The sequence below is a fragment of the Homo sapiens genome, chromosome 21, assembly GCF_000001405.40.
Source record: "Homo sapiens chromosome 21, GRCh38.p14 Primary Assembly".
NCBI lineage: Eukaryota > Metazoa > Chordata > Mammalia > Primates > Hominidae > Homo > Homo sapiens.
In genome coordinates, this window is record NC_000021.9 from 45,503,718 (window position 1) to 45,526,932 (window position 23,215).

General features: G+C 56.7%; 2 protein-coding genes across 28 annotated transcripts in view, besides 3 other annotated features; one reads left to right on the forward strand and one right to left on the reverse strand.

Moving 5' to 3' along the window:
• Positions 1 to 10,003, forward strand: part of COL18A1 (collagen type XVIII alpha 1 chain) — a 108,556-nt gene extending 98,553 nt beyond the window's left edge. For all 3 annotated transcript variants that reach the window (NM_001379500.1, NM_130444.3, NM_030582.4), the window contains 10 exon segments: positions 294 to 337; positions 699 to 839; positions 1,417 to 1,561; positions 1,641 to 1,714; positions 2,121 to 2,249; positions 3,844 to 3,876; positions 5,639 to 5,884; positions 6,347 to 6,544; positions 7,394 to 7,509; positions 8,471 to 10,003. In NM_001379500.1, the coding sequence (NP_001366429.1) occupies positions 294 to 337; positions 699 to 839; positions 1,417 to 1,561; positions 1,641 to 1,714; positions 2,121 to 2,249; positions 3,844 to 3,876; positions 5,639 to 5,884; positions 6,347 to 6,544; positions 7,394 to 7,509; positions 8,471 to 8,681 (1,337 nt within the window). In that variant the 3' untranslated portion in view covers positions 8,682 to 10,003.
• The window catches only part of SLC19A1 (solute carrier family 19 member 1), a 60,509-nt gene that overhangs the window by 1,201 nt on the left and 36,093 nt on the right, over positions 1 to 23,215 (reverse strand). For 16 of the 25 annotated variants that reach the window (XM_047440961.1, XM_011529700.3, XM_047440954.1 and 13 more), the window contains 2 exons: positions 22,100 to 22,241; positions 8,848 to 12,423 (listed from right to left, as the gene is read on the reverse strand). In XM_047440961.1, the coding sequence (XP_047296917.1) occupies positions 11,941 to 12,423; positions 22,100 to 22,241 (625 nt within the window). In that variant the 3' untranslated portion in view covers positions 8,848 to 11,940. Of the gene's footprint in view, positions 1 to 8,829; positions 12,424 to 22,099; positions 22,242 to 23,215 lie in introns of those variants that run through there. The other 9 variants (NM_001352511.3, NM_001205206.4, XM_047440960.1 and 6 more) reach the window with 2 other exon arrangements.
• Positions 11,194 to 11,701: an enhancer, noted in NCBI's record as "H3K4me1 hESC enhancer chr21:46934825-46935332 (GRCh37/hg19 assembly coordinates)". NCBI's record gives its function as "activates a minimal SCP1, AML or CMV promoter by ChIP-STARR-seq in naive H9 embryonic stem cells {active_cell/tissue: H9 hESC(naive)}" and the evidence as "EXISTENCE:reporter gene assay evidence [ECO:0000049][PMID:30033119]".
• Positions 12,209 to 12,715: an enhancer, noted in NCBI's record as "H3K27ac-H3K4me1 hESC enhancer chr21:46935840-46936346 (GRCh37/hg19 assembly coordinates)". NCBI's record gives its function as "activates a minimal SCP1, AML or CMV promoter by ChIP-STARR-seq in naive H9 embryonic stem cells {active_cell/tissue: H9 hESC(naive)}" and the evidence as "EXISTENCE:reporter gene assay evidence [ECO:0000049][PMID:30033119]".
• Positions 14,115 to 14,374: an enhancer, noted in NCBI's record as "active region_18591". NCBI's record gives its function as "activates an Ori minimal core promoter by ATAC-STARR-seq in GM12878 lymphoblastoid cells {active_cell/tissue: GM12878}" and the evidence as "EXISTENCE:reporter gene assay evidence [ECO:0000049][PMID:35858748]".

Here is a 23,215-nt window from a genome sequence, read left to right on the forward strand (position 1 = left end):
ATGGCACATGTATACATATGTAACTAACCTGCACATCATGCACATGTACCCTAAAACTTAAAGTATAATAATAAATTTAAAAAATTTAAAAATAAAATAAAAATAAAAAGGCACCATTAACAAAAACATCAGAAAGTATCGGTTAACTAGGAAGAACCTAATTAAATACGCGATCTCTACCGCGAAATGGCTAGAAGGGCCTCAGGCAAACCCACCAGTGCTGGGGGCTGCAGAGGGAACCCGGCGCTGTCAGACACCACCTCAGCGAGACCCCGCCTGTCTCTCTCTTGCAGGGCAGTTTCCGTTTGACTTTCTTCAGTTGGAGGCTGAAATGAAGGTGGGTGACCTCCCTGTGGGGTTGGGGGCCCCCAAGGTCCTGTACATCCCGCTGGGTGGCTGCTCCCAATTTCTCGCCCCATCCGGCCCAAGCCCCCTTCCTGTTCAGCCCTGCGAGGGGCGCTGGCTCCAGAGGGTGTCGAGGGCGTCCCTCAGGATGTTCCTGTCCCCGGCTCAGTTTTTGGGGGACTCGGCTGATGCAGTGGGAGGTGGGGAGTCGAGCCCTATTCTATGCAGCCAGCAGCTCCCAGGCCTGGGCTCCGGAAGCTTCTGACTGCCCAGCCCTGGCTCGGGGGGATGGGAGGCCACCTGTGGCTTGTAGGGGTTCAGGGCTCCCGTGTAACAAGTGTTTCCGTCCACAGGGGGAGAAGGGAGACCGAGGTGATGCAGGACAGAAAGGCGAAAGGGGGGAGCCCGGGGGCGGCGGTTTCTTCGGCTCCAGCCTGCCCGGCCCCCCCGGCCCCCCAGGCCCCCCAGGCCCACGTGGCTACCCTGGGATTCCAGTAAGTCCCAGCCTGTGCAGGCAGAGCCCATGTCCCAGGGGTCTGGGTGCAGGAGCCGAGGGCAGGTCCAGCCCGGCCTTCGACACCCGCGAAGGCCGGAGCTGCCCCTGCAAGCTCAGCAGCCCCGACATGTCCCTGTCCCCGTGTGGGGACGCAGCAGGCCACATGGGTGTGGGTGCACTGACCCCGGACACCCCCCGTCCCCCTGCAGCGTTCCATGGCCTGCCCTCCTGCTGGGGCCACGTGCATCCACCTCTGCTCCTGGGCCGGGTCAGGTCAGATCAGGGTTTAGGCCCATCAGTCCTGAAAGACTCCAGAGAGCCATGGGCCCCAGCTACTGCCTGGGGGCCCACACTGTTGTCAGGTCTCTGCTGGTCTCTCCCCCGGGATCGCACCCCCAGGGAAGAAGGGGTGATGGTGTGGGGGTTTCTCAGGCTATGGCGTGGGCAGGGAGGGGACCGGTGACTCAGAGGCTGCGCTCGCCAAGGGGGTCTTGGCAGCTGCAGCCCCACAAGCTTGCCCGCCCCCAGTCCAGGGCACGAGGTAACCAGGAAGCGTCTCTTGTCGCCGTCCGTAGGGTCCCAAGGGAGAGAGCATCCGGGGCCAGCCCGGCCCACCTGGACCTCAGGGACCCCCCGGCATCGGCTACGAGGGGCGCCAGGGCCCTCCCGGCCCCCCAGGCCCCCCAGGGCCCCCTTCATTTCCTGGCCCTCACAGGCAGAGTAAGTCAGTGGGGAGTGGGCCCCGGGCAGAGGCCGCCTCGTGTGGCTTCGTGTTCCCACCTTGGTTTCTCTCCTGCAGCTATCAGCGTTCCCGGCCCTCCGGGCCCCCCTGGGCCCCCTGGGCCCCCTGGAACCATGGGCGCCTCCTCAGGGGTAAGTGTCTGGGCAGCCGGCTGGGCACCTGCGTCCCGTGCCCTGGCTGGTTCTGCAGCCCCTGCCCCTCAGAGACACTCTCCCACGGACCCCACAGGGAGATATACAGGAGGCCAAGATGCGGTTTCCAGGGTGGAAGCGGGGCCAGGCCATGGGGGAATCAGGTGGACCCAGGAGGACGACCACCAGCCGGGAAGTGCCCAGGGCCTGTACATTGTCCACGGAGGCGCAGGAGCTGGCGGCAGGCAGGGGTCCCCATGGTGCTCATGGGGGCAGCCGCCTCAGTCCACACCTGTCCAAAGCCCTGCGGCCCCTGCCCAGCACCCTGAAACGGGCATTCCTTCCTTCCGCCCCTGCCCCCCGCCCTCCCCGCCAAGCCCCACACCTCTGCATTTGGTCCCAGCAGGTGAGGCTCTGGGCTACACGCCAGGCCATGCTGGGCCAGGTGCACGAGGTTCCCGAGGGCTGGCTCATCTTCGTGGCCGAGCAGGAGGAGCTCTACGTCCGCGTGCAGAACGGGTTCCGGAAGGTCCAGGTGAGCGCTCTGTGTGACGGGTTCTGGACCCGTGGAAGGGCCGAAGCCGCCTCCTGGGGCTTAAGGAAGGCGAGAGGCTCAGGCCCCGGACAGGGATGGGAGCAGGTGGCAGCCAGCGCTTCTTAAACTTTCAAACTTTTGGTAAAGTTTAGTAAAATACTTTTGTGAGCAGTTTTGGGTTTAAAGAAAAGTGAGCTCAAGCTTCTGAAAGTGGATGAACACATGGCGTGTGAGGGGCTCCTGGTGGGTCATGTCACAGTGAACGTTTACAAAGATAAATGTCACCTCACACACCCGATAATAAGACAAGGCGCCTGACGGGACGAGGCGGCAGGGGGGCTCAGGCCCTCCAGGGCCACGTGACGTCCACAGCACGGCCCCGGCTGGGGGGCAGGCTGTCCCGTGGCTCTGCACCCCGCGTTATAAACACCAAGGTGGGATGAAATGCATCCTCTCTGCTTAGCACGGGCCTTGCTCACCAGCCTGGCTCCTCAGACACACCTGGGATTGCCCCTTCCAGGACAGGCCAGCCCCTTTCCTGCTTTCCCAAAATGGTCTGGGTGGCAGGAGTGGCCGCTCTGATCCAGGTGGGTGCGGCCATGCTTGCAGGGCCCCGGGAAGGTTTACCTTCGTGTGGCAAAGGTGAGGACGGGTAGAAGCCCCATGCCGCCGAAACGGCCTGTGACATCCGTGGGAGCCTCCATGGCAGAACACTGCACACTGACACAGCCCTGACTCCTGGAGCCCTCCCACCTTCCAACACACCCACCTTCCTTCTAGAGCCCTCCCACCTTCCCTCTGGAACCCTCCCACCTTCCCTCTGGAGCCCTCCCACCTTCCCTCTAGCACTCCCTCCCTCTCGCCACCGGCCCCCTCCTAGGCCTGGCCAGCCCCTGCAGCACCCCAGACAGTGAATCCCACTCCAGTCCCTTCATCTGGCCAGGGAGAGGCTGCCAGTCTCATAGCAGATGCTGAGCTGGTGCCCACTGTGTGCCAGGTGTGCTTGTAGGCACCCGGATGCAGCCCCATCCTAACTTTCAGGGGCTTTGGTCCTGACAGGAGGAGGCAGGGGATGGCATCCTAGCAAACGCGTGCTGGGAGGGCTGGGTGCTGGGCAGGGAGGGCAACCTGCCGTGGACTGGGAGGGCTGGGTGCTGGGCAGGGAGGGCACCCTCCTGTGGGCTGGGAGGGCCGGGTGTTGGGGAGGGAGAGGCGGGTGCTGGGCAGGGAGGGCACCCTCCTGTGGGCTGGGAGGGCCGGGTGTTGGGGAGGGAGAGGTGGGTGCTGGGCAGGGAGGGCAACCTGCTGTGGACTGGGAGGGCCGGGTGCTGGGCAGGGAGGGCACCCTCCTGTGGGCTGGCAGGGCCGGGTGCTGGGCAGGGAGGGCACCCTGCTGTGGACTGGGAGGGCCGGGTGCTGGGCAGGGAGCGTACCCTGGCACAGGCTTGGAGGGGCAGGTGCTGGGCAGGGAGGGCACCCTCCTGTGGGCTGGGAGGGCCAGGTGCTGGGGCGGGAGAGTCGGGTGCTGGGCAGGGAGGGCACCCTGGCTCAGGCCCAGCCGCAGGTCCTGGGTGACCCTGCTGCTTTCTTCCAGCTGGAGGCCCGGACACCACTCCCACGAGGGACGGTAAGGAGCCTTTTTTCTGTTGAGACTGGTGGGTGGTCAGGACATGAGGGGGTATGTGCTGTCCCCTGTTTGAGGAACAACACGTGGTCCTTTGGAGTCCTGGAGCTGAACATGTGGCTCACCATCAGCCCCTGCTGCAGAAACTGGTGCAGGACACCCCACTACCTCTGTCTCAGCGCTGGCCCCCCAGTACCTCCGTCTCAGCTGCTGGCCTCACGAGGGAGCCCCTCTCATCCCTCAACTTTCCCAGTTGTGTCTGCCGCTCATTGCCCTCCTCAAGGTCAAAATCCTTGGGGCCAAAATCCACATCTTGTGTCTTTGCCTTCCCTCACCCAAAGTGCCAGACACAAGAATGGATATCTCTAAGAGTGGTGGGTGACTGGGTGGGTGAATCAATGGGGAGGTGGATGGATGGATGGGTGGATGGAGAGGTGGGTGAGTGGATACGTAGGTAGATGGGGAGGTGGATGGATGAGTAGATGGTGGACAGGTGGGTGAGTGGATGGATGGTGGTCAGGCGGGTGAGTGGACGGGTGGGTGGGTGGATGGAAAGGTGGGTGAGTGGATAGGTAGGTAGCTGGGGAGATGGATGGATGGTGGACAGGTGGGTGAGTGTATGAATGGGTGGGTGGATAGTGGGTAAGTGGGTGAGTGGATGGTGGACAGGTGGGTGAGTGGATGGGTAGGTAGATGGGGAGGTGGATGGGTGGTTGCTGGACAGGTGGGTGAGTGGATAGATGGGCAGATGGATGGTGGACAAGTGGGTGAGTGGATGGGTGGATGGATGGTGGGCAGATGGATGGTGGATAGGTAGATGAGTGGATGAATGGGTGGATGGATGGTGGGTAAGTGGGTGAGTGGATGGGTGGATGGACAGGTGGGTGAGTGGATGGGTGGGTGGATGGATGGTGGGTAAGTGGGTTAGTGGATGGGTGGGTGGATGGATGGGTAGAAATATTTTCGTTTTCCTAAGTGTTGCGTCCAGCTGCTGTCGGCCCCTCCTTGAGTAGAGGTCATGATTCCTTAATTGGCTCAGGAGTGAGGCCTGATGTGGAGCAGTGTCAGGGGCTCCACAGCGGCCTGTCTCCTCACAGGGTTCAGCCCAGTCTGCTCTCACTCATTTGCTGATTCATTCTTTCATTCAGCCAGTCAATAGTCATGGCCCCTCCTGTGTGCCGGGTGGCCATGGATATTGCCCTGGGTAACACACAGCCTGGCCCTGTGGAGCAGACAGTGGGGACAGCCATGTGGACAGGGTGCAGGTGGATGGCAATGGCAGCTGGGTCAGGAGGGGCTGAGGGCCGTGGGGAAAGGTGCAGAATCAATAGGGGCATCCGGACTGGGGTGCAGGCCTGGGGGCTGGGATTTCTAGGGTGGAGGTCACCTCTGAGGGAGACAGAGCAAGGCCCTGGGAGATTAGAAGGTCGAAGGTCGCCGTGTTGAGGTCAGGGGCCCTGAATTGGAGCCGCGGCAAAGGAGAGGGCAGGTCAGGGCACGTGGTGAGTGATTGCTGCGGCTTCTGAGCACGGCTGGGTCTGTGGGGCCTGAGCAGAGGTGACCCGCGATCCGGCGCCACGGCAGGCAGGACTCCCCACCCTTGCTGCTGCCTACACCCCCAGGGCAGCCCCAGAGTCGGGGGCGCAGCTCCCTGCTTGCCAGTTCAGAGCCCAGCCCCTCTCACCCAGCCCAGAGGAGGACACAGATGGAGGAGGGGCACCCGGAGGGTCCCCCCGCCGACAGGCCCCACGTCTCCCACCTGCAGGACAATGAAGTGGCCGCCTTGCAGCCCCCCGTGGTGCAGCTGCACGACAGCAACCCCTACCCGCGGCGGGAGCACCCCCACCCCACCGCGCGGCCCTGGCGGGCAGATGACATCCTGGCCAGCCCCCCTCGCCTGCCCGAGCCCCAGCCCTACCCCGGAGCCCCGCACCACAGCTCCTACGTGCACCTGCGGCCGGCGCGACCCACAAGCCCACCCGCCCACAGCCACCGCGACTTCCAGCCGGTGGTGAGTGCCCCCCCAAAGTGGGCTTGGCTCCATCTAGCCCCTCGGCTCTCGGCAGCAGAAGAGGGCCCAGCCCCTGCAGAGCTGCTGGGGGTCCCAGGCTTCGGCCATGGGTGGGGGTCTGGCGGCTCAGGGCCACTCAGGGCGGCTTGGCTGGCCCTGGGACTTGCCCTCTGGTGGCCAAGCAGTGGTCATGAAAGTCCAGCCGCTGTCACATCCTTGAGGAACCGGCGTACCTCCGCCTACAGCGGCAGCTGGGGGCACCCACGTGGCCCGGGGCTGCTCTGACCTGGCAGCGTATGGGGGCTGCTGCCTGGGCCCCTCAGTGTGTCACTTGCGCGCCTCCCGCTCAGCGCCCCTCGGCCGTGCCTGTCCACACAGGTGCGGGGCCGGGGTGGTGCGCCCGGGGCCTGGGTGCAGGGGGCAGCGTGGGACACAGCCCGTGACGCGCCCCTCTCCCCGCAGCTCCACCTGGTTGCGCTCAACAGCCCCCTGTCAGGCGGCATGCGGGGCATCCGCGGGGCCGACTTCCAGTGCTTCCAGCAGGCGCGGGCCGTGGGGCTGGCGGGCACCTTCCGCGCCTTCCTGTCCTCGCGCCTGCAGGACCTGTACAGCATCGTGCGCCGTGCCGACCGCGCAGCCGTGCCCATCGTCAACCTCAAGGTGGGTCAGTCCAGTCCTGAGGGCGCGGGCTCCTCGGCCCCCACTTGACCTCTGGGGTGAACTCCCAGCGGGGAGCTCCCCTCTAGGGCCTCTGGAGGCCACCATGTTACAGACACTGGCGCCTAGGCTGGCGACTTCAGGGCAGGCTCCGGGTGGGTCACACCCCTCCAGGCTCAGGCCAGGCCTCTGCATCCCTGGGCACTGCCACGTCCCCCAGGGCATCCCATGAGGCCCCCCCGTGGCCCCCTGACCCCCCGCTCCCCCGGCAGTGCCCCTCAGAGGGTCCCATGCTGCTGGACCAAGTGTCCACACAGGTGATAGGGCTCACATACAAGCCTGGAATCAGGAACCGTCCTTTGGGCCTCTAGTGCCATGCGGGCTGGTGGCCCCTCTGCCACAGCACCCATGTGGCTTTATTCTGTGGCCCCTTTTCGTGCACTGGGCTGTGGCTTCTGGGTGCCCCGGGGAGCACCCACATTCCCCAGAACCAACAGCAGAGGGGTCAGAGACCCAGGGCTGGGAGCAGGCGGCTGTGGCCTGGCGTTAGGGGACAGGGTCCCCTGCCTTAGCCAAGGCCTCTTGGGGTCTGCAGAGGCTGCCTGGCCAGGCCTGGCTCCCCCACGCTTGTTCCCTGGCAGGACATGCCCAGGGGCTGCAGAACCCCACCCCCCAAAAAAACACACACCCACAACACCCCACATACACCCCCAAACACCCCCCACACCCCACACACACAACACACCCCCCCCCCACACATCCACACCCCACATCCACACACCCCCCCACAAACACCCACACCCATCCACACCCCCACACACCACACACACATACACACGGTTTCTCTTCCAGGACGAGCTGCTGTTTCCCAGCTGGGAGGCTCTGTTCTCAGGCTCTGAGGGTCCGCTGAAGCCCGGGGCACGCATCTTCTCCTTTGACGGCAAGGACGTCCTGAGGCACCCCACCTGGTAGGTTCCCAGTGCCGTGTGAGCAGCTCTGAGAGCCCCAGCCAGGGAAGGCGGGCGGGCGGGCTCCTATCTGCAGTTTCCCCCCGAGTTTTTGGACAAATCTTATACATGCTCATTACTTTAAAATTACAAAATCCAAAAGAGCATTGAGAAAAATGAGAACTGCTCTGAGAAGTCATCATTAGCAATGCGTTTGAGAGCCAGGTAGTTGTAAGAAGGCCCCGAAGGTGCCCCCGGCCCTCTGCTCATGGCGGATAGACTCCATGTCTCCCGGATGTCACCAAGCCTGTGGTCAGCCATGTAAGCAGCGCAGCGAGTTTATTCACCGAGAATAAACTCCTCAAAGGGCAACACGGAGTCCGAGCATGTGTGCCCTTAAAATGTTGACAGAAATTTCCAGGGTATCTAGAAGAACGCTTCGTCCCAAATGTCGCTGTGCCCTCCCCACGTGAGCGCCGCGATTCTTCCAACACTCATGCATTTAGGGGTGTCTCGGGGTGCCACACAGCGTGTCCCCAGCAGTGCCTGGCCATCTGCTGTAACGGAGATGCACCTGCCAAGGGTCTCTGACAGGAGTGCTGTGGGCAGGGCTGGGCCCCAGGGAAGGCCTGAAAGCCAGGAGCCCGGGAGGCGGAGCTGGTTCCTAGCGAGGCAGCCACAGGAAGCCTCTGCTCAGCAGGCATGAGGGCCAGGTTCACCCAGCCAGGCCAAGCCCTGGCCCCTCTCCCCTCTGCCGTGGGTGTGTCTGGCAGAAGCAGCATGGGGGGCAGTCTGGGAGATGCAGCCCCCTCCACAGGCAGCCAGCAGGGAGGCCATGTGGCCCTCCAGGTTGTGGGAGCCTCTGCAGCCCCCTGGTAACCCCAGGGCTGGCCTCCTGCCTCCACCTTTCCTGCCCGGGGAGCGGCCTCTGCCCTAAGCAGAGCAGGTCTGGGTTTGACTGACGGCCCGGCGCGTCTTACAGGCCCCAGAAGAGCGTGTGGCATGGCTCGGACCCCAACGGGCGCAGGCTGACCGAGAGCTACTGTGAGACGTGGCGGACGGAGGCTCCCTCGGCCACGGGCCAGGCCTCCTCGCTGCTGGGGGGCAGGCTCCTGGGGCAGAGTGCCGCGAGCTGCCATCACGCCTACATCGTGCTCTGCATTGAGAACAGCTTCATGACTGCCTCCAAGTAGCCACCGCCTGGATGCGGATGGCCGGAGAGGACCGGCGGCTCGGAGGAAGCCCCCACCGTGGGCAGGGAGCGGCCGGCCAGCCCCTGGCCCCAGGACCTGGCTGCCATACTTTCCTGTATAGTTCACGTTTCATGTAATCCTCAAGAAATAAAAGGAAGCCAAAGAGTGTATTTTTTTAAAAGTTTAAAACAGAAGCCTGATGCTGACATTCACCTGCCCCAACTCTCCCCTGACCTGTGAGCCCAGCTGGGTCAGGCAGGGTGCAGTATCATGCCCTGTGCAACCTCTTGGCCTGATCAGACCACGGCTCGATTTCTCCAGGATTTCCTGCTTTGGGAAGCCGTGCTCGCCCCAGCAGGTGCTGACTTCATCTCCCACCTAGCAGCACCGTTCTGTGCACAAAACCCAGACCTGTTAGCAGACAGGCCCCGTGAGGCAATGGGAGCTGAGGCCACACTCAGCACAAGGCCATCTGGGCTCCTCCAGGGTGTGTGCTCGCCCTGCGGTAGATGGGAGGGAGGCTCAGGTCCCTGGGGCTAGGGGGAGCCCCTTCTGCTCAGCTCTGGGCCATTCTCCACAGCAACCCCAGGCTGAAGCAGGTTCCCAAGCTCAGAGGCGCACTGTGACCCCCAGCTCCGGCCTGTCCTCCAACACCAAGCACAGCAGCCTGGGGCTGGCCTCCCAAATGAGCCATGAGATGATACATCCAAAGCAGACAGCTCCACCCTGGCCGAGTCCAAGCTGGGAGATTCAAGGGACCCATGAGTTGGGGTCTGGCAGCCTCCCATCCAGGGCCCCCATCTCATGCCCCTGGCTGGGACGTGGCTCAGCCAGCACTTGTCCAGCTGAGCGCCAGGATGGAACACGGCCACATCAAAGAGGCTGAGGCTGGCACAGGACATGCGGTAGCCAGCACACAGGGCAGTGAGGGAGGGCTGTCATCTGTGCACTGCCCATGGACAGGCTGGCTCCAGATGCAGGGCAGTCATTGGCTGTCTCCTAGGAAACCCATATCCTTACCCTCCTTGGGACTGAAGGGGAACCCCGGGGTGCCCACAGGCCGCCCTGCGGGTGAACAAAGCAGCCACGAGGTGCAACAAGGTCCTCTGTCAGTCACAGCCACCCCTGAGATCCGGCAACATCAACCCGAGTCATTCGTTCTGTGGAGGGACAAGTGGACTCAGGGCAGCGCCAGGCTGACCACAGCACAGCCAACACGCACCTGCCTCAGGACTGCGACGAAACCGGTGGGGCTGGTTCTGTAATTGTGTGTGATGTGAAGCCAATTCAGACAGGCAAATAAAAGTGACCTTTTACACTGACTCTTGGTTTGCAAGCAGCCTTCACTGTCACAGGAAGGACACAATTCTCCAAAAGGAGTTCTCAGGAGTCTTTTATCCCTGGACTGCCCCACTGGCAGATCCCGAGTGTGCACAGGCACGCACGGTTACATGGGGTATGCATGCATGGCCATACACAGGCGTGCAGTTGTACACAGGTGTGCAGGAGCATCCATAGTGTGCACAGGTACACAGGCATGCACGGGTGTGTGGACACACACCAACACTCTTAGGTCTCTCCTCACAGCAGGACCTGACTTGCTCCCAGCAACACTACATCCTGACAGCCATCCCTGTCCTGGTGGACGGGTGAGTGCAGGACTCAGAGGCAGGCAGGCAGTGGGTGCAGTGAGCAGGCTGCGGAGGGAGCAGGCCCTCAGGTTGGGGAGGCGCTGGGAGGAGGATTCTGATGGCGGTGTGGGCCTCCCCAGTGACGCTCTAGCCCATGGCACAGGCCCAGCCCACCTCCACCCATCACATCCTGCTAGATCTACGAGCCCAGGAAATGGCTGGTGCAGACCCCCCCCCAAGCAGGGTCCCCAGGGTGGCCATGACAGAGCCCCTGGATGCACCTGGGACCATGGCCCTGTCTGACTGGCACCATCCACTGACTCGGGCCATCTTCCACGTGCAGCCTCTGCCTCAACCCAGGGTACCCCAAGATGCCTGCTCCCCTGAGCCACCTCGGGAGACCCCTGGGTCCAGCAGCTCCAGCAGCCCCTCCCCAGCCAGAGATTCTCTCCCCAGCTCTCCGTGCTGAGCAGCCAGCCATTCACCTGGGGCCGCTGAGATGTGGCAGAGGCCCCACAGGATAGGGCCGTTGACTAGGGTTGTGGGGGTGCTCAGCTCATGGGCACCAAGGCCCTGCGTGGGCTGGAGGCGGGAGAAGGCTGGGACGCCTCTCCTGGCCTCCTCACTGACTGCTGACCCTCAACCCCCAGGCCAGGCCGGCCCTGAATCAGAAGCCCTGCGCACACTCACTTAAGTGTGTTTAATGTATGTGGGAAGAGTATTCACATCACATCAGATGGTCCCGCACCTGTGGGCAAGGCACTAGCGCTCCTTAGACCCTGAGGCCGCTGGGACGTACTTCCCCAGCGCCCACCACAAAGGCAGCCCCCCCAAGGCTGCCCAGCCCAGGCAAGCCTGGCACATACCAAGGCCAGCACGTCCGCGGTGACCGGGACCAGTCCCCTCCGGGCTGGCACAAGTGTGGGAGCAGCTGAGGACCCGCAGGTCAGGATGGACACACTTCAGAAGGACAGACAGGACCATGGAGGGCTGCCCTTAGGGTGGGAGAGAGGAACCAGCTCCGAGGACCAGAGCCGCTGCTCCCCTCTGATGACAATGTGTCTGCCGCCAACCTGAGATGGCTTTTCCACAGAGACAGAGAAGCCACATGCAGTTCTTCATTCTACGTCAGTTAAAAAAAAAAAAAGCATCTTTCAAAAAAGCAAGAGCACCAAGGATGACCAGCAATGTCACAGCTCAGCTACACCTGAGGGTCCCGGCTCCCACCCTGCCCTAGAGGGCTCACAACTCCTGTGGGGCCAGTGTCCCCTGAGCTGGTATCCAAGAGGCCACTTCACTAGCCCTGGGGGGCAGAAAGGATTTGTCTCAAGCCCCCCAAGGGGCATGAGCCAGTGAGGCCTGGTGGACGCAGAAGCCCACCACCCACCTCTTCCAGCAACAAAGCCCGCGGGGCACAGTGCAGGGACAGCATGGCCAGGCAGCTGCCCTGAGTGTCGCCAGCACGCTGTGGCCACCGCCAGAGTGCGGCACAGGGCAGGGGGAATCCTAGGGGGCCTGCTAGCAGGATAAGCGGAGGCCCCCATTGCTAAGGCAGGCGGCCCTCGAGGCAGGGGTCGTGGGGATGCACTGAGGGCCGCCTGCAAAGTTACCACAGGGGCGCCCGAGAGTCACTGGTTCACATTCTGAACACCGTCGCTTGGAAGACACTGCAAACCCAGCTTGCTGACACCAGGAGGATGGACAGCCAGCTGGGGACAAGTCTCATCTGCAGCCTCAGGGCCTGAGGCTTGGGCGGAGCACAGAGTGCAGGGGGAAGGGGTTGTCACTGGGCTCAGGAATTCAGCTGCCTGCGGGGCCGGGGCCTGGGCCAGGTATGGGTCGCTCTGTCTCTGCTCCAGGGAGGCTGGCCCCACAGCCCCCAGGCTGTCTTCTGGGGAAAGCGGCGGGCTCTGGGCTGGCTGCAGGCCTCCGAGGCCCTTGTCCTGCACGCTCAGTGCCTGTGCTGCCTTCTCCTCCGCGGCACTCCTCAGGCCCTGGGCCGGGGGCTGCCGCGGGTGGTGGCCCCGCTGGCAGTGCCGCAGGCCATCCAGCATGGCCCCCAAGAAGTAGATGATGGACAGGATCAGGAAGTACACGGAGTATAACTGGAACTGGAAAGAGAGGCCGGGTGAGGCGGGTGGGGAGGGCCTGGCTGGGACACTGGCACCCTACACCCCGACGCCTGCTCCCAGGCTCACCCTCCTCCAGCTCAGAGGCTGACCCTGAACACTGCACAGCGGTCAGAGGCCAGCCCCAGGAGCAGGTGCCACAGTGCTCACCACAGCCCCCCCGACCTCCACCACCTGGCACAGGCCTGAAGGGGGGTTCCCACCATTTCCCAAGAACCCCTCGGAACCTGGCAGGTGGCCTGCTTCTGCGTGGCCTGCGGTGTCTGCTCCCGAGTCCCCTGCTTGGTGGTGCTTGCTGCCCCCCCATGGTGCTGAGACAGCGGAAGGGTGCCCATGAGGGCCAGAACGTCCCGCCTGGCAGAGCAGGGTGAGGAGAGCCACAGCAGGTGACCAGGAGCTGATCCCCAGGGCTTCGCGCCCAGAGCAACCCCCAGCAGCCTGCACATGGAGCCCGTCTCCATCTCGGCAGCGGAAGCTGTGCTACGATGACCAGAAGGAGCAGCACCAGCGTTGGCCACATCTCTCCTGATTCTCGCAGCTGCCAGGGGCAGGAGGGACTGGAGATGTCCCTGGGACACCAGGGAGGGACCTGATCATTCCCGGAGGTGCAGAGGGTTCAGGAGGCTGCAGTGCCCTCAGGACATCCGTGGGCAGAGCCCAGTGAGTCCCGCCCAAGACCCCTGAGGCCCCAGCTCCACATCCGCAGGCCAGAATCCCTGCAGCCCATCGGCACCGGCACCCTTCCAGGACAGCTGTTTTTAAAGCAAACTGAGGAAGATGGGGCTGACACGCTTCTCCCTGCTCTTCTCCTACCCAAGACACTGAGATAAACACCTGGGAAGACTCTGAAAGCAGGAGCGAGGAGGACAGACTGACCAGGCCCTCGGGGTCTGGGGAGCTGTGCCACACAAGGGCAGACTGGCCGGGCCCTCGGGGTCTGGGGAGCTGTGCCACGCAAGGACAGACTGTGCCACGCAGAGCTCCCTGGGGGCTTTTCTTTTCACCTCAGATATTTTGAAACTGAAGAAGGCAGCAGGCTGGAAAAGACAACAGATGCAGAAAAAAGAGCCCATGGAAGCAGCTCTCTCTGGCCTAAGACCCAGGGAAGGGTCAGCCCAACATGAGGAAAGACCTTTCGACAGGAATCGCCCTGCTCCCCGCAAACACCAGACCTCGGCTCCACCCACCATGTCAGCAAGGACCCCCCACCCTCGCCAGCCTGTAACAAGGACCCCCGAGTCCCCTGCGGGGTGGTGTCAGACAACACCAGTGGGCACTAGAGCTTTCACTCCCACTGGTTGGTAAAGACACCCACCCTCACCCCCAAGGAGTCAGCAGAGACCACAGGGAAGCCCAAGATGTCACCCCCAAAGCCTCATGGAGTCAGTGGAGACCATGTGGGGAGCCTAGTCACCCCCGAAGCCTCACGGAGTCAGCAGAGACCATATGGGGAGCCTGGCCTCTTATCCTCACCCAGTAGTAAGAGCGTGCCTGTCCTGTCCCCCTCCATGCTGGGGGGTGTCAGAGGAGGTCAAGCGGGAGTCCAGACTTTCACCTACCCAGCAATAATGAGAATGTCCCAACCCCAGGGGCATCAAGGGGGCCACGAGGGGAGCTGGACTCCCATCCTTGCCTGGCAACAAGAAGGAGCCCCCACCCAGCCACCCACCCTCCCTCAGGTGTCACAAAGGCTGAGTGAGAGCCTGGACTTCCACCCCACCTGCCTGTAGCGAGGTGCACACCCCGCTTGACCTGCAGGAGTTGCGTCAGCCACAACAGGATGCTGAAATTACATCATACCCAAAATGCTTGCATCTCACTAAAAAATCCCTTGGCACACTAAACCACAAAGATCTCAAACTGAAAAACAATTAATAGACACCAACACTAAGACAACACAGACAGTAGAATTCGCCAAGAAAGATCTTAAAGCAGCCACCATAAAAATGCTTCAGTGAACAATAACAAACATGCTGGAAACAAATGAAAAAACACAGTCTCAGCAAAGAAATAGGAGAAATAAAAAAAATTTAGAACTGAAATGTACAATAATCAGAATTTAAAAACTTAATGAATCATCTCAACAACAAAATAGAAGAGGCAGAGAAATGATCAATGAACTGGAGGTAGAACAATAGAAATTATCCAACCTGAACAAAAGAAAAAATGGACTGAAAAAAAATGAACAAAGCCTCATTCCTTGTGGGACTATACAACATGATCTAACATTTGTGACATGGGGGATCTAGAAAAAGAGGAGAAAAGGAGTGGGGTTCAAAAAGCATTTCAGGAAATAATGGTTGAAAACTTCCTAAATTTGGTGAGATGTACACTGCAGATTCATGAAGCTGAGCAAACCCCAAATAGAAAACCCAAACAAAATCACACCAACACATACCATATTCAAACTTCTATAAGCTAACGATAAAAATAAAGAAAAAATCTTGGAAGTGGCCAGAGAAAAATGACACTTTACGGGCAAGCAATTTGAATAACAGTAATTGCTCATCAAAAATCCTGAAAGCTATGAGGAAGGGGCACCACATTTCTCACAGGCTAAAAAAAAAGAACACTGTCTACCCAGCATCCTATATCCAGTGAAAACATCCTTTGAGAATAAAAGAGCAATCAAGACACTCACAGATGAAGAAAAACTAAGAGAAGAAATTTGTAACCAGCAGATCTGTCTAAAATAATGGCAAAAAACAAACAAAAAACAAGTTCTCTAAACAGAAAGGAAATTACTAAAGAAGGAATCTTGAAATAACAGGAAAGAGGAAATACCACAGTAGGCAACATTATGGGTAAATAAAACAGACTTTCCTTCTTTAGTTTCCTAAAATATGTTTGATGATTAATGCAAAAATTACAATATTTTCTTATGTAGCACTAAAGGTATGTAGAGAAAATATTTAAGATAATTGTACTGTAAGCGGGAGATGACAGTGACATAAAGGCAACGTTTTTATACTTCACTCAAACTTTATGTATTAATGTAATCCATAAAGCAACCAAAAAAGCTATACTAAGTACATTCAAAAACACAATAGATAAACCAAACAAAATTCTAAAGGATGTACAAGTAACCCACTGGAAGCTGCAAAAAATGTAAACAGAAACTAAAAACAGAGAATAAATGAAAAATTAAAAACGAAATGGCAGACTTAGGCCCTAATATACAAATTATCACATTAAATATAAATGGTCTAAATACACCAACTGTAAGACAGAGATTAGCAAAGTCGATTTAAAAACATGACTCAACTACGTGCTGTCTACAAGAAACTCACTTCAAATATACCAAGATAGGAAGGTTGAAAGTAAAACGATGGAAAAAGATGTATCATGTGAACATTAATCAAAGGAAAGCAGGGGTGGCTATATTAACATCAGGTAAAATAAACTTCTGAGCAAAAAAAAAAAAAAAAAAAAAAAAGACCAGGGACAGCAGAGACAGAGAAGGACATTATATAATCCCACTATTACACAATTGACAAGAGGGTCAGTCCACCAAAACAAATTTCAATCCCTAACGTGTATGCAACAAACAAAAGAGCTGCCAATATGTGAAGCAAAAACACAACAGAACTGAAAGGAGAAACAGATCCACAATTATACTTAGGAGACTTCAATACCCCCTCTCAATAATAAAACTAGACAGAAAATCCACAAGAACTGAGAGGAAATCAATACCATCAGCCAACAGGATCTGATCAGCATTTACAGAACACTCCACCCAAAAGCAGAATATACATTCTTTCAAAGTGTCCACAGTATATCAAAACAGATAATATTCTGGGTCATAAGACAAATCTTAACAAATTTATAAGGACTGAAATAATAATGTGTTTTCCAATCACAACAGAATCAAAAAAGAAATTAATAACAGAAAGATAACAGGAAAATCTCAAAACACTTGGAAATTAAACAACAAAATTTGAAATAATGATGCATCAAAAAACACACTGAAATGAATGAAAATGAAAACACAGCCTATTAAGATTTGTGGGATGCAACTAAAGCAGTACTGAGTGGGGAAATTTATAGCATTAGATGCATAAATTAGAAAAGAGGAAAAGTCTCAAATCAATATCTCACCTCAAGAACCTAGAAAAAAGAAGAGCAAAATAAATCTAAAGCAAGCAGAAAGAAGGAATTAATAAAGTTCCAGCCAGTGCACTAAGTCAAGAAAAAGAAATAAAAGATATACAGATCAGAAAGGAAGAAATATTTGCAGATGACATAATTATCTACGTAGAAAATCTCAAGGAATTTAAAAAACAAAGGCCAAAAAATGGAAAAGCCTCCTACAACAAATAAGTAATCTCAGCAAAATTGCAGTATACAAGATAAACACACAAATATATCAACTACATTTCTATACACTAGCAACGAACATGTATACACTGTTATGGAATGAATTGTGAACCCATCACCCAATTCATATGTTGAAGCCCTAACCCACAATGTCACTGCATTTGAAGACAGGGCCTTTCAAAAGGTAATTACGGTTAAATGAGGTCACAAGGATGGCATCTTACTCCAACCTGACTGGATGTCCTTATAAGAAGACAGACACTAGCCGGGCATGGTGGCTCATGCCTGTAACCCCAGCACTTTGGGAGGCTGAGGCGGGTGGATCACCTGAGGTCCAGAGTTCAAGACTAGCCTGGCCAACATGGAGAAACCCCGTCTCTACTAAAAACATGAAATTAGCCAGGCATGGTGGCACATGCCTGTAATCCCAGCTACTTGGGAGGCTGAGACAGGAGAATTGCTTGAACCCAGGAGGAGGAGGTTGCGGTGAGCTGAGATTGCGCCATTGCACTCCAGCCTGGGCAACAAGAGCGAAACTCCATCTCAAAAAAAAAAAAAACAAACGAAAAAAAGATACCAGGGAGGACCATACACAGAAAAAAAAGACCATATGAAGACAAAGGGAGAAGATGCCAACTGCAAGCCAAGAAGAGAGGCATCAGGAGAAACCAACCTGCCAACACCTTAATCTCAGACTTCAAGCCTCCGGAACTGTGAGAGAATATATTTCTGTTGTTTGTCACCCAGTTTGTGATATTTTGCTATGGCAGCCCAAACAGACTAATGCAGATAACAAATTTCAAAATATGGTTTGATTTACTTAAGAAAAAGCATAAACTAAAAACATGTATAGTACTCATATGCTGAAAACTACAAAATGCTGAAAGAAATCAAAGATCTAAATAAATGGAAAGATATACCATGTTCATGGATTGGAAAACAACACAGTAAACACGTCAATTCTCCCAAAATTGATACACTGGCTTAATTGCAATTCCTAACAAAATCTGAGCAGGAATTTTTGTAGATATAGACAAGATTACTCTAAAATGTATACGGAAAGGCAAAGAAACTATAATAGTCAAAACAATTTTGAATAAAAAGAAGTTGGAGGAATCAAGTCTATCCACTTTCAAAACTTGCTGTAAAGCTTCATAACCAAGACAGTGTGATATTGGTACAAGAGTAAACACATAGTTCAATGGAACAGGATAAAAAACCCAGAAACAGACTCACATAAATATGCCCAACTTTTGACAAAGGTGCAAAAGTAATTCAATGGGGAGAGCTAAGTCTTTTCAACAAATGATGCTGGAATAAATGGATACGCACAGGCCAAAAAAAAAGTGACCTCAACCTAAACTTCACATCTTATACAAAAATTAAAGCTGGTCAGAGACTTAAATGTAAAAACACGAAACTTTAAAAAAGAAATTTGAGGAAAATCTTCTGAATTTAGGGCTAGGCAAAGAGTTTCCATAAAAGGAAAAACTGTTAAATCAGAGCTCATGGGAGTTAAAAAACACTTGTTCTGTAAAAGACCACATTAAGTAGATGAAACAACCAGCTACAGAGTTGAAAAAAAAATTGCAAACTGTATATATCCAACAAAGGACTAATATCTGGAATACACAAACCATGCTTAAAACTCAAGAGTATAAAAATGAACAATCCAATGAGAAAATGGGCAGAAGATGTGAAGATTTTGCAAATGGAAAATAAGGACATAAAAAGATGTTCAACATCATTATCCACCAGGGAAATGCAAATTAAAACAATATTATGCCCCAGGGAAATGCAAATTAAAACCACAATGAAATATCACTACACCTATCACAACGGCCAAAATAAAAACTAGTGGCAACACGGCATACCAAAGACGCTGTGACTGGATCTCTCAAAGTCTGCTGGTGGTGATATAAAACGGTACGACTGCTATGGAAAGTGGGCTGCTTCCCTGCTTCTTTCCTGGAAAGAAACAAGCAACTACCTGGTGACCCAGCACTTGCACTTCTGGGCGTCTGTCCCAGGGAAAGGAAAACCTATATTCACACAAAAACCTATAAAAGAATGTCCATAGCAGCTTTATTGGTAATACCTCACACTGGAAACAAGTCTTTCAACGGTGAATAAATAAAGTGTGCTGTACCTACACCCTGGAACAGCACTCAGCAGCAAGAAGGAATCAGCCACAGCCACAGTAACAACATGGATGAATGTTCAGAGAACAGTGTTGAGTGAAAAGAGCCAATCCCTAAACGATACACAATGCATAGCCGTGTTTATACAACACTCCTGAAATGACAAACTCATACAAGCGGAGAAGAGGGTAGTGGCTGCCAGGGGTTAAAGAGGACGTGAGGCTGGGAGTAGGGTGGGCCTTGGCTATAAAGAGCAGCATGAGGGATCCCTGTGGGGATAGAATGTTCTGGATCCTGACTGTCGCCATGCTGGTTGTGATGTGCTACAGAACTGTAAGACGTGACCACTGTGAAAACTGGGTACGGGGTACATGGATCTCCCTGTATTATTTATTAAACAGCATGTGAATATAAGATTACCCAAATATAAAGCTTAATTTAAAAAGCAGGCAAACCCAGGCAAGCTCTAGCCCTGTCTGTCCCCCCATGCTCCATCACGGCTCCCTCCCGTCTCCAGACTCTACCCCCGACCAAGCCTGAACTCCTGGCCCAGCTGTTCTCCCCATGCTGGAGGAAAGAGAGTGGACACTCGGCACCCAGTAACAGGCACGGGGGCAAGATGAGCCCGCACCACCTCCTCTAGACCCAACAGGATGTCCAGCCATGAGCAAAATGCCCCACTAGTTAACTTTTTAACCTAGAAATCAAACCAGCCAGAGAAAAGTCCATGTGTTTTTTTTCTATGTGACAAGAGGCAGCCAGGAACCACAGGCCAGAACCTGCCTCCACCTCCCCAGAGCTGTCTCCCCCACAGCCTCCACGGCCACACCAGGACCAGGACCAGCTAAGGAAGGGAAAGGGCTTCCTCGTGACCAGCTCTCTGGGGAAGAACTGCTCCACCCCCTGCACCAAGCCCCCATGGGCCCTTAGAAGCCCACCGTGAGGGGTCCCCTCCACAGGGCAGCTACAGGGGAGCACACGCACAGAGTCCCTAAAGAGCCCTCAGGCATCTGCCCCTCCAGCTGCCAAGGGCTGAACAAGAGGCAGTCACAGAGGGATGGAGGTGGGGCGGCAACGGTAGTCAGGGGCAGTCAGCACCCAGAGGCAGGTCAGAAGCCAGTTCCAGCCTGGCTGGGGCCACACAGGGCCCTGAGGGTCTCCCTGGGACGGGCACTCCCTGCCCATACATGCTGGCAGCCACTGCTGTCTGGGGACAGAGGTAACTCGGGGCTCCAAGAATGGGGAGGACCTCCTCCCGGGTGCTGGAGCCCCTCCAAAGCCAGCTGGACTGCTGCCAGCACCCCGCCCTGGGGCCATGCATTCAACAGAAGCCTTCTGGGCCCCCTTTCTGCAGACCTGAGACCAGCCCGGCCACCAGGAGGCTGTGTCCACCCAGGCCGGGCCTGGACACATTCACCCGTGGGCCTTGGAGACTCACCTGTCCTGAGCGTTCACCCCTGGGCTTCGGAGGCTCACCCGCCCTGAGCGTTCACCCCTGGGCCTCGGAGACTCACCTGCCCTAAGCGTTCACCCCTGGGCCTTGGAGGCTCATCACCCTGAGTGTTCACGCCTGGGCCTTGGAGGCTCACCTGCCCTGAGTGTTCACACCTGGGCCTCGGAGGCTCACCCGCCCTGAGTGTTCACACCTGGGCCTCAGAGGCTCACCCACCCTGAGCGTTCACCCCTGGGCCTTGGAGGCTCACCTGTCCTGAGCGTTCACCCCCGGGCCTCGGAGACTCACCTGCCCTGAACGTTCACCCCTGGGCTTCGGAGGCTCACCCGCCCTGAGTGTTCACCCCTGGGCCTCGGAGACTCACCTGCCCTAAGCGTTCACCCCTGGGCCTTGGAGGCTCATCACCCTGAGTGTTCACGCCTGGGCCTTGGAGGCTCACCTGCCCTGAGTGTTCACACCTGGGCCTCGGAGGCTCACCCGCCCTGAGTGTTCACACCTGGGCCTCAGAGGCTCACCCACCCTGAGCGTTCACCCCTGGGCCTTGGAGGCTCACCTGTCCTGAGCGTTCACCCCCGGGCCTCGGAGACTCACCTGCCCTGAACGTTCACCCCTGGGCTTCGGAGGCTCACCCGCCCTGAGTGTTCACCCCTGGGCCTCGGAGACTCACCTGCCCTAAGCGTTCACCCCTGGGCCTTGGAGGCTCATCACCCTGAGTGTTCACGCCTGGGCCTTGGAGGCTCACCTGCCCTGAGTGTTCACACCTGGGCCTCGGAGGCTCACCCACCCTAAGCGTTCACCCCTGGGCCTTGGAGACTCACCCGCCCTGAGTGTTCACACCTGGGTCGGGGGTGTTGTACCCAGAGGGCTCTGTGGCACAGGGCCACGTGGCCTGCCAGCGTGGACAGGCCCTAATGACACTCTTGGGCTGAAGAATGCATTTCGATGAGTGAGCAACAGCCATCCTCACCTAACAGGCATTTGTGAGCCGAAGGGGATGCCTGCTATTGCCCGGGCCTTACCCTGAGCTCTGGAGTCACTGAAGCTGAACAGACTCCGCACCCTCAGAGGATCAGGACTAACCCTGACAGTCCTCCTGCCCAGTGAGACCTGGGCCCCAGGTGGACAAAGCCCTTGTCCCACCCGCCAAGGGCATCTGTCTAGCTGCAGGCTGGGGCAGTCCTGAGGAGCCTGGAAGGACCTCTCACACCACGCCCACCATGGCTGATTCCAGCTCACTCGGAGACCCGGCCTTGGCTGGGACCCTCAGGAGTTAAATGTGTGTTTTCCAGCTCTTCTCAGAAGCAGCAGAGGCCCGCGAGAGGTGGGAAAGGGGAGGGCACCCGCAGAGGCCTGCGCACTGACACTGCTGAGTGGCTCTGCTCAGCTCTCCTTCCTGAAGAGGACAAAGGTCACGTGGCCTCCAGCCAGGGCTCAAGGACACCAAGTTCCGGCAGCCACAGGCAGAGAGCGGAGACAAGGACAGCTCCGCCGTGGCGAGCAGAGGCTCAGCTGCTCCCACTGAGGCCCAGGGCCTGACGGAGGCTCCCGCCCACAACAACTGAGCCCCGCTAGGGTCTCTCTCACTTCCTGCTCTCGCTGGCCTGGTGTGTCCCACTGGAAGCCCCAGGCCCGCACCCTGTGCCCCCAGCCCACAGTGGGCTCCACATCAGGCGGGCACCAGGAGGCCTCAACAATGTCCCCACAAGTAGCTTCCATCCCCGAGGACGCAGGCCTGAAATGGGCTCACCTGCTTGCGGACCGGGAGGCCCAGGCCCCGCACGTCCGAGACAATGAAAGTGATGATGGTCTTGACGATGGTGGCAAAGAACGTGTTGACCCCGAAGACCAGGGCACAGAGCTCTTTAGACAGAGAAGATGCAATCTGAAAGCTGAACGGGAAGAGCGGGCAGATCAGGCGCTGCTGGGAGAATAAGCAGCAGCCACAGGGAAAAGCCTGCAGCCCGGCTCCCACCAGCCCATGACCCGCCCGGCAGCCACGGGGTCCCAGGGCACGCACAAGCCCCCCACCAGGCCCCCATCTCTCCCACACATGCCCGCCCCTGCCAGGCAGGAGCCAGCACCCAGGCCACCCTCGAGGGGCCATTCTGGGAGCTGCCGTGTCCCCCTGGCTCAGTACAGAGTGAGGGTCCCTTATCCAAAATGCCTGGGGCCAGTAGTTTTGGATTTGGGAATATTCACATGTCCATAATGAGATGTCTTGAGGATGGAACCCAAGTCTAAACACGAAATGCATTTATGCTCATATGCACTGTACACACACAGCCAGAAGGTGATTTTATATAATACCTGACAAACATTTGCAAGCCAAAGGGGTTGCCTGCTACTGCCCAGGGCCTCACCCTGAGTTCTGGAGTAATTTTGTGCATGAAGAAACTTTTGACCGTGTTCTGAGACTCGTCAAACAAGGTCAGGTACAGGATTTTCCACCGGGTTGTCTTTCCGGTGCTCAAAAACTGTCAGATTTTGGAGTATTTCAAATTCTGGATTTTTTGTTATTTTTTTTTAGATGGAGTCTCGCTCTGTTGCCCAGGCGTGCAATGGCACAATCTCAGCTCACTGCAACCTCTGCCTCCTGGGTTCAAGCAATTCTCCTGTCTCAGCCTTTCGAGTAGCTGGGATTACAGGCACGCGCCATCATGCCCAGCTAATTTTTGTATTTTTAGTAGAGACAGAGTTTCACCATGTTGGCCAGGCTGGTCTCGAGCTCCTGGCCTCAGGTGATCCACCCACCTCAGCCTCCCAAAGTGCTGGGATCACAGGTGTGAGCCACTGCGCCCAGCTGAATTCTGGCTGTTTTGATTAGGGATGCTGAACCTATACAATGGGTGTCACAAAACACAAA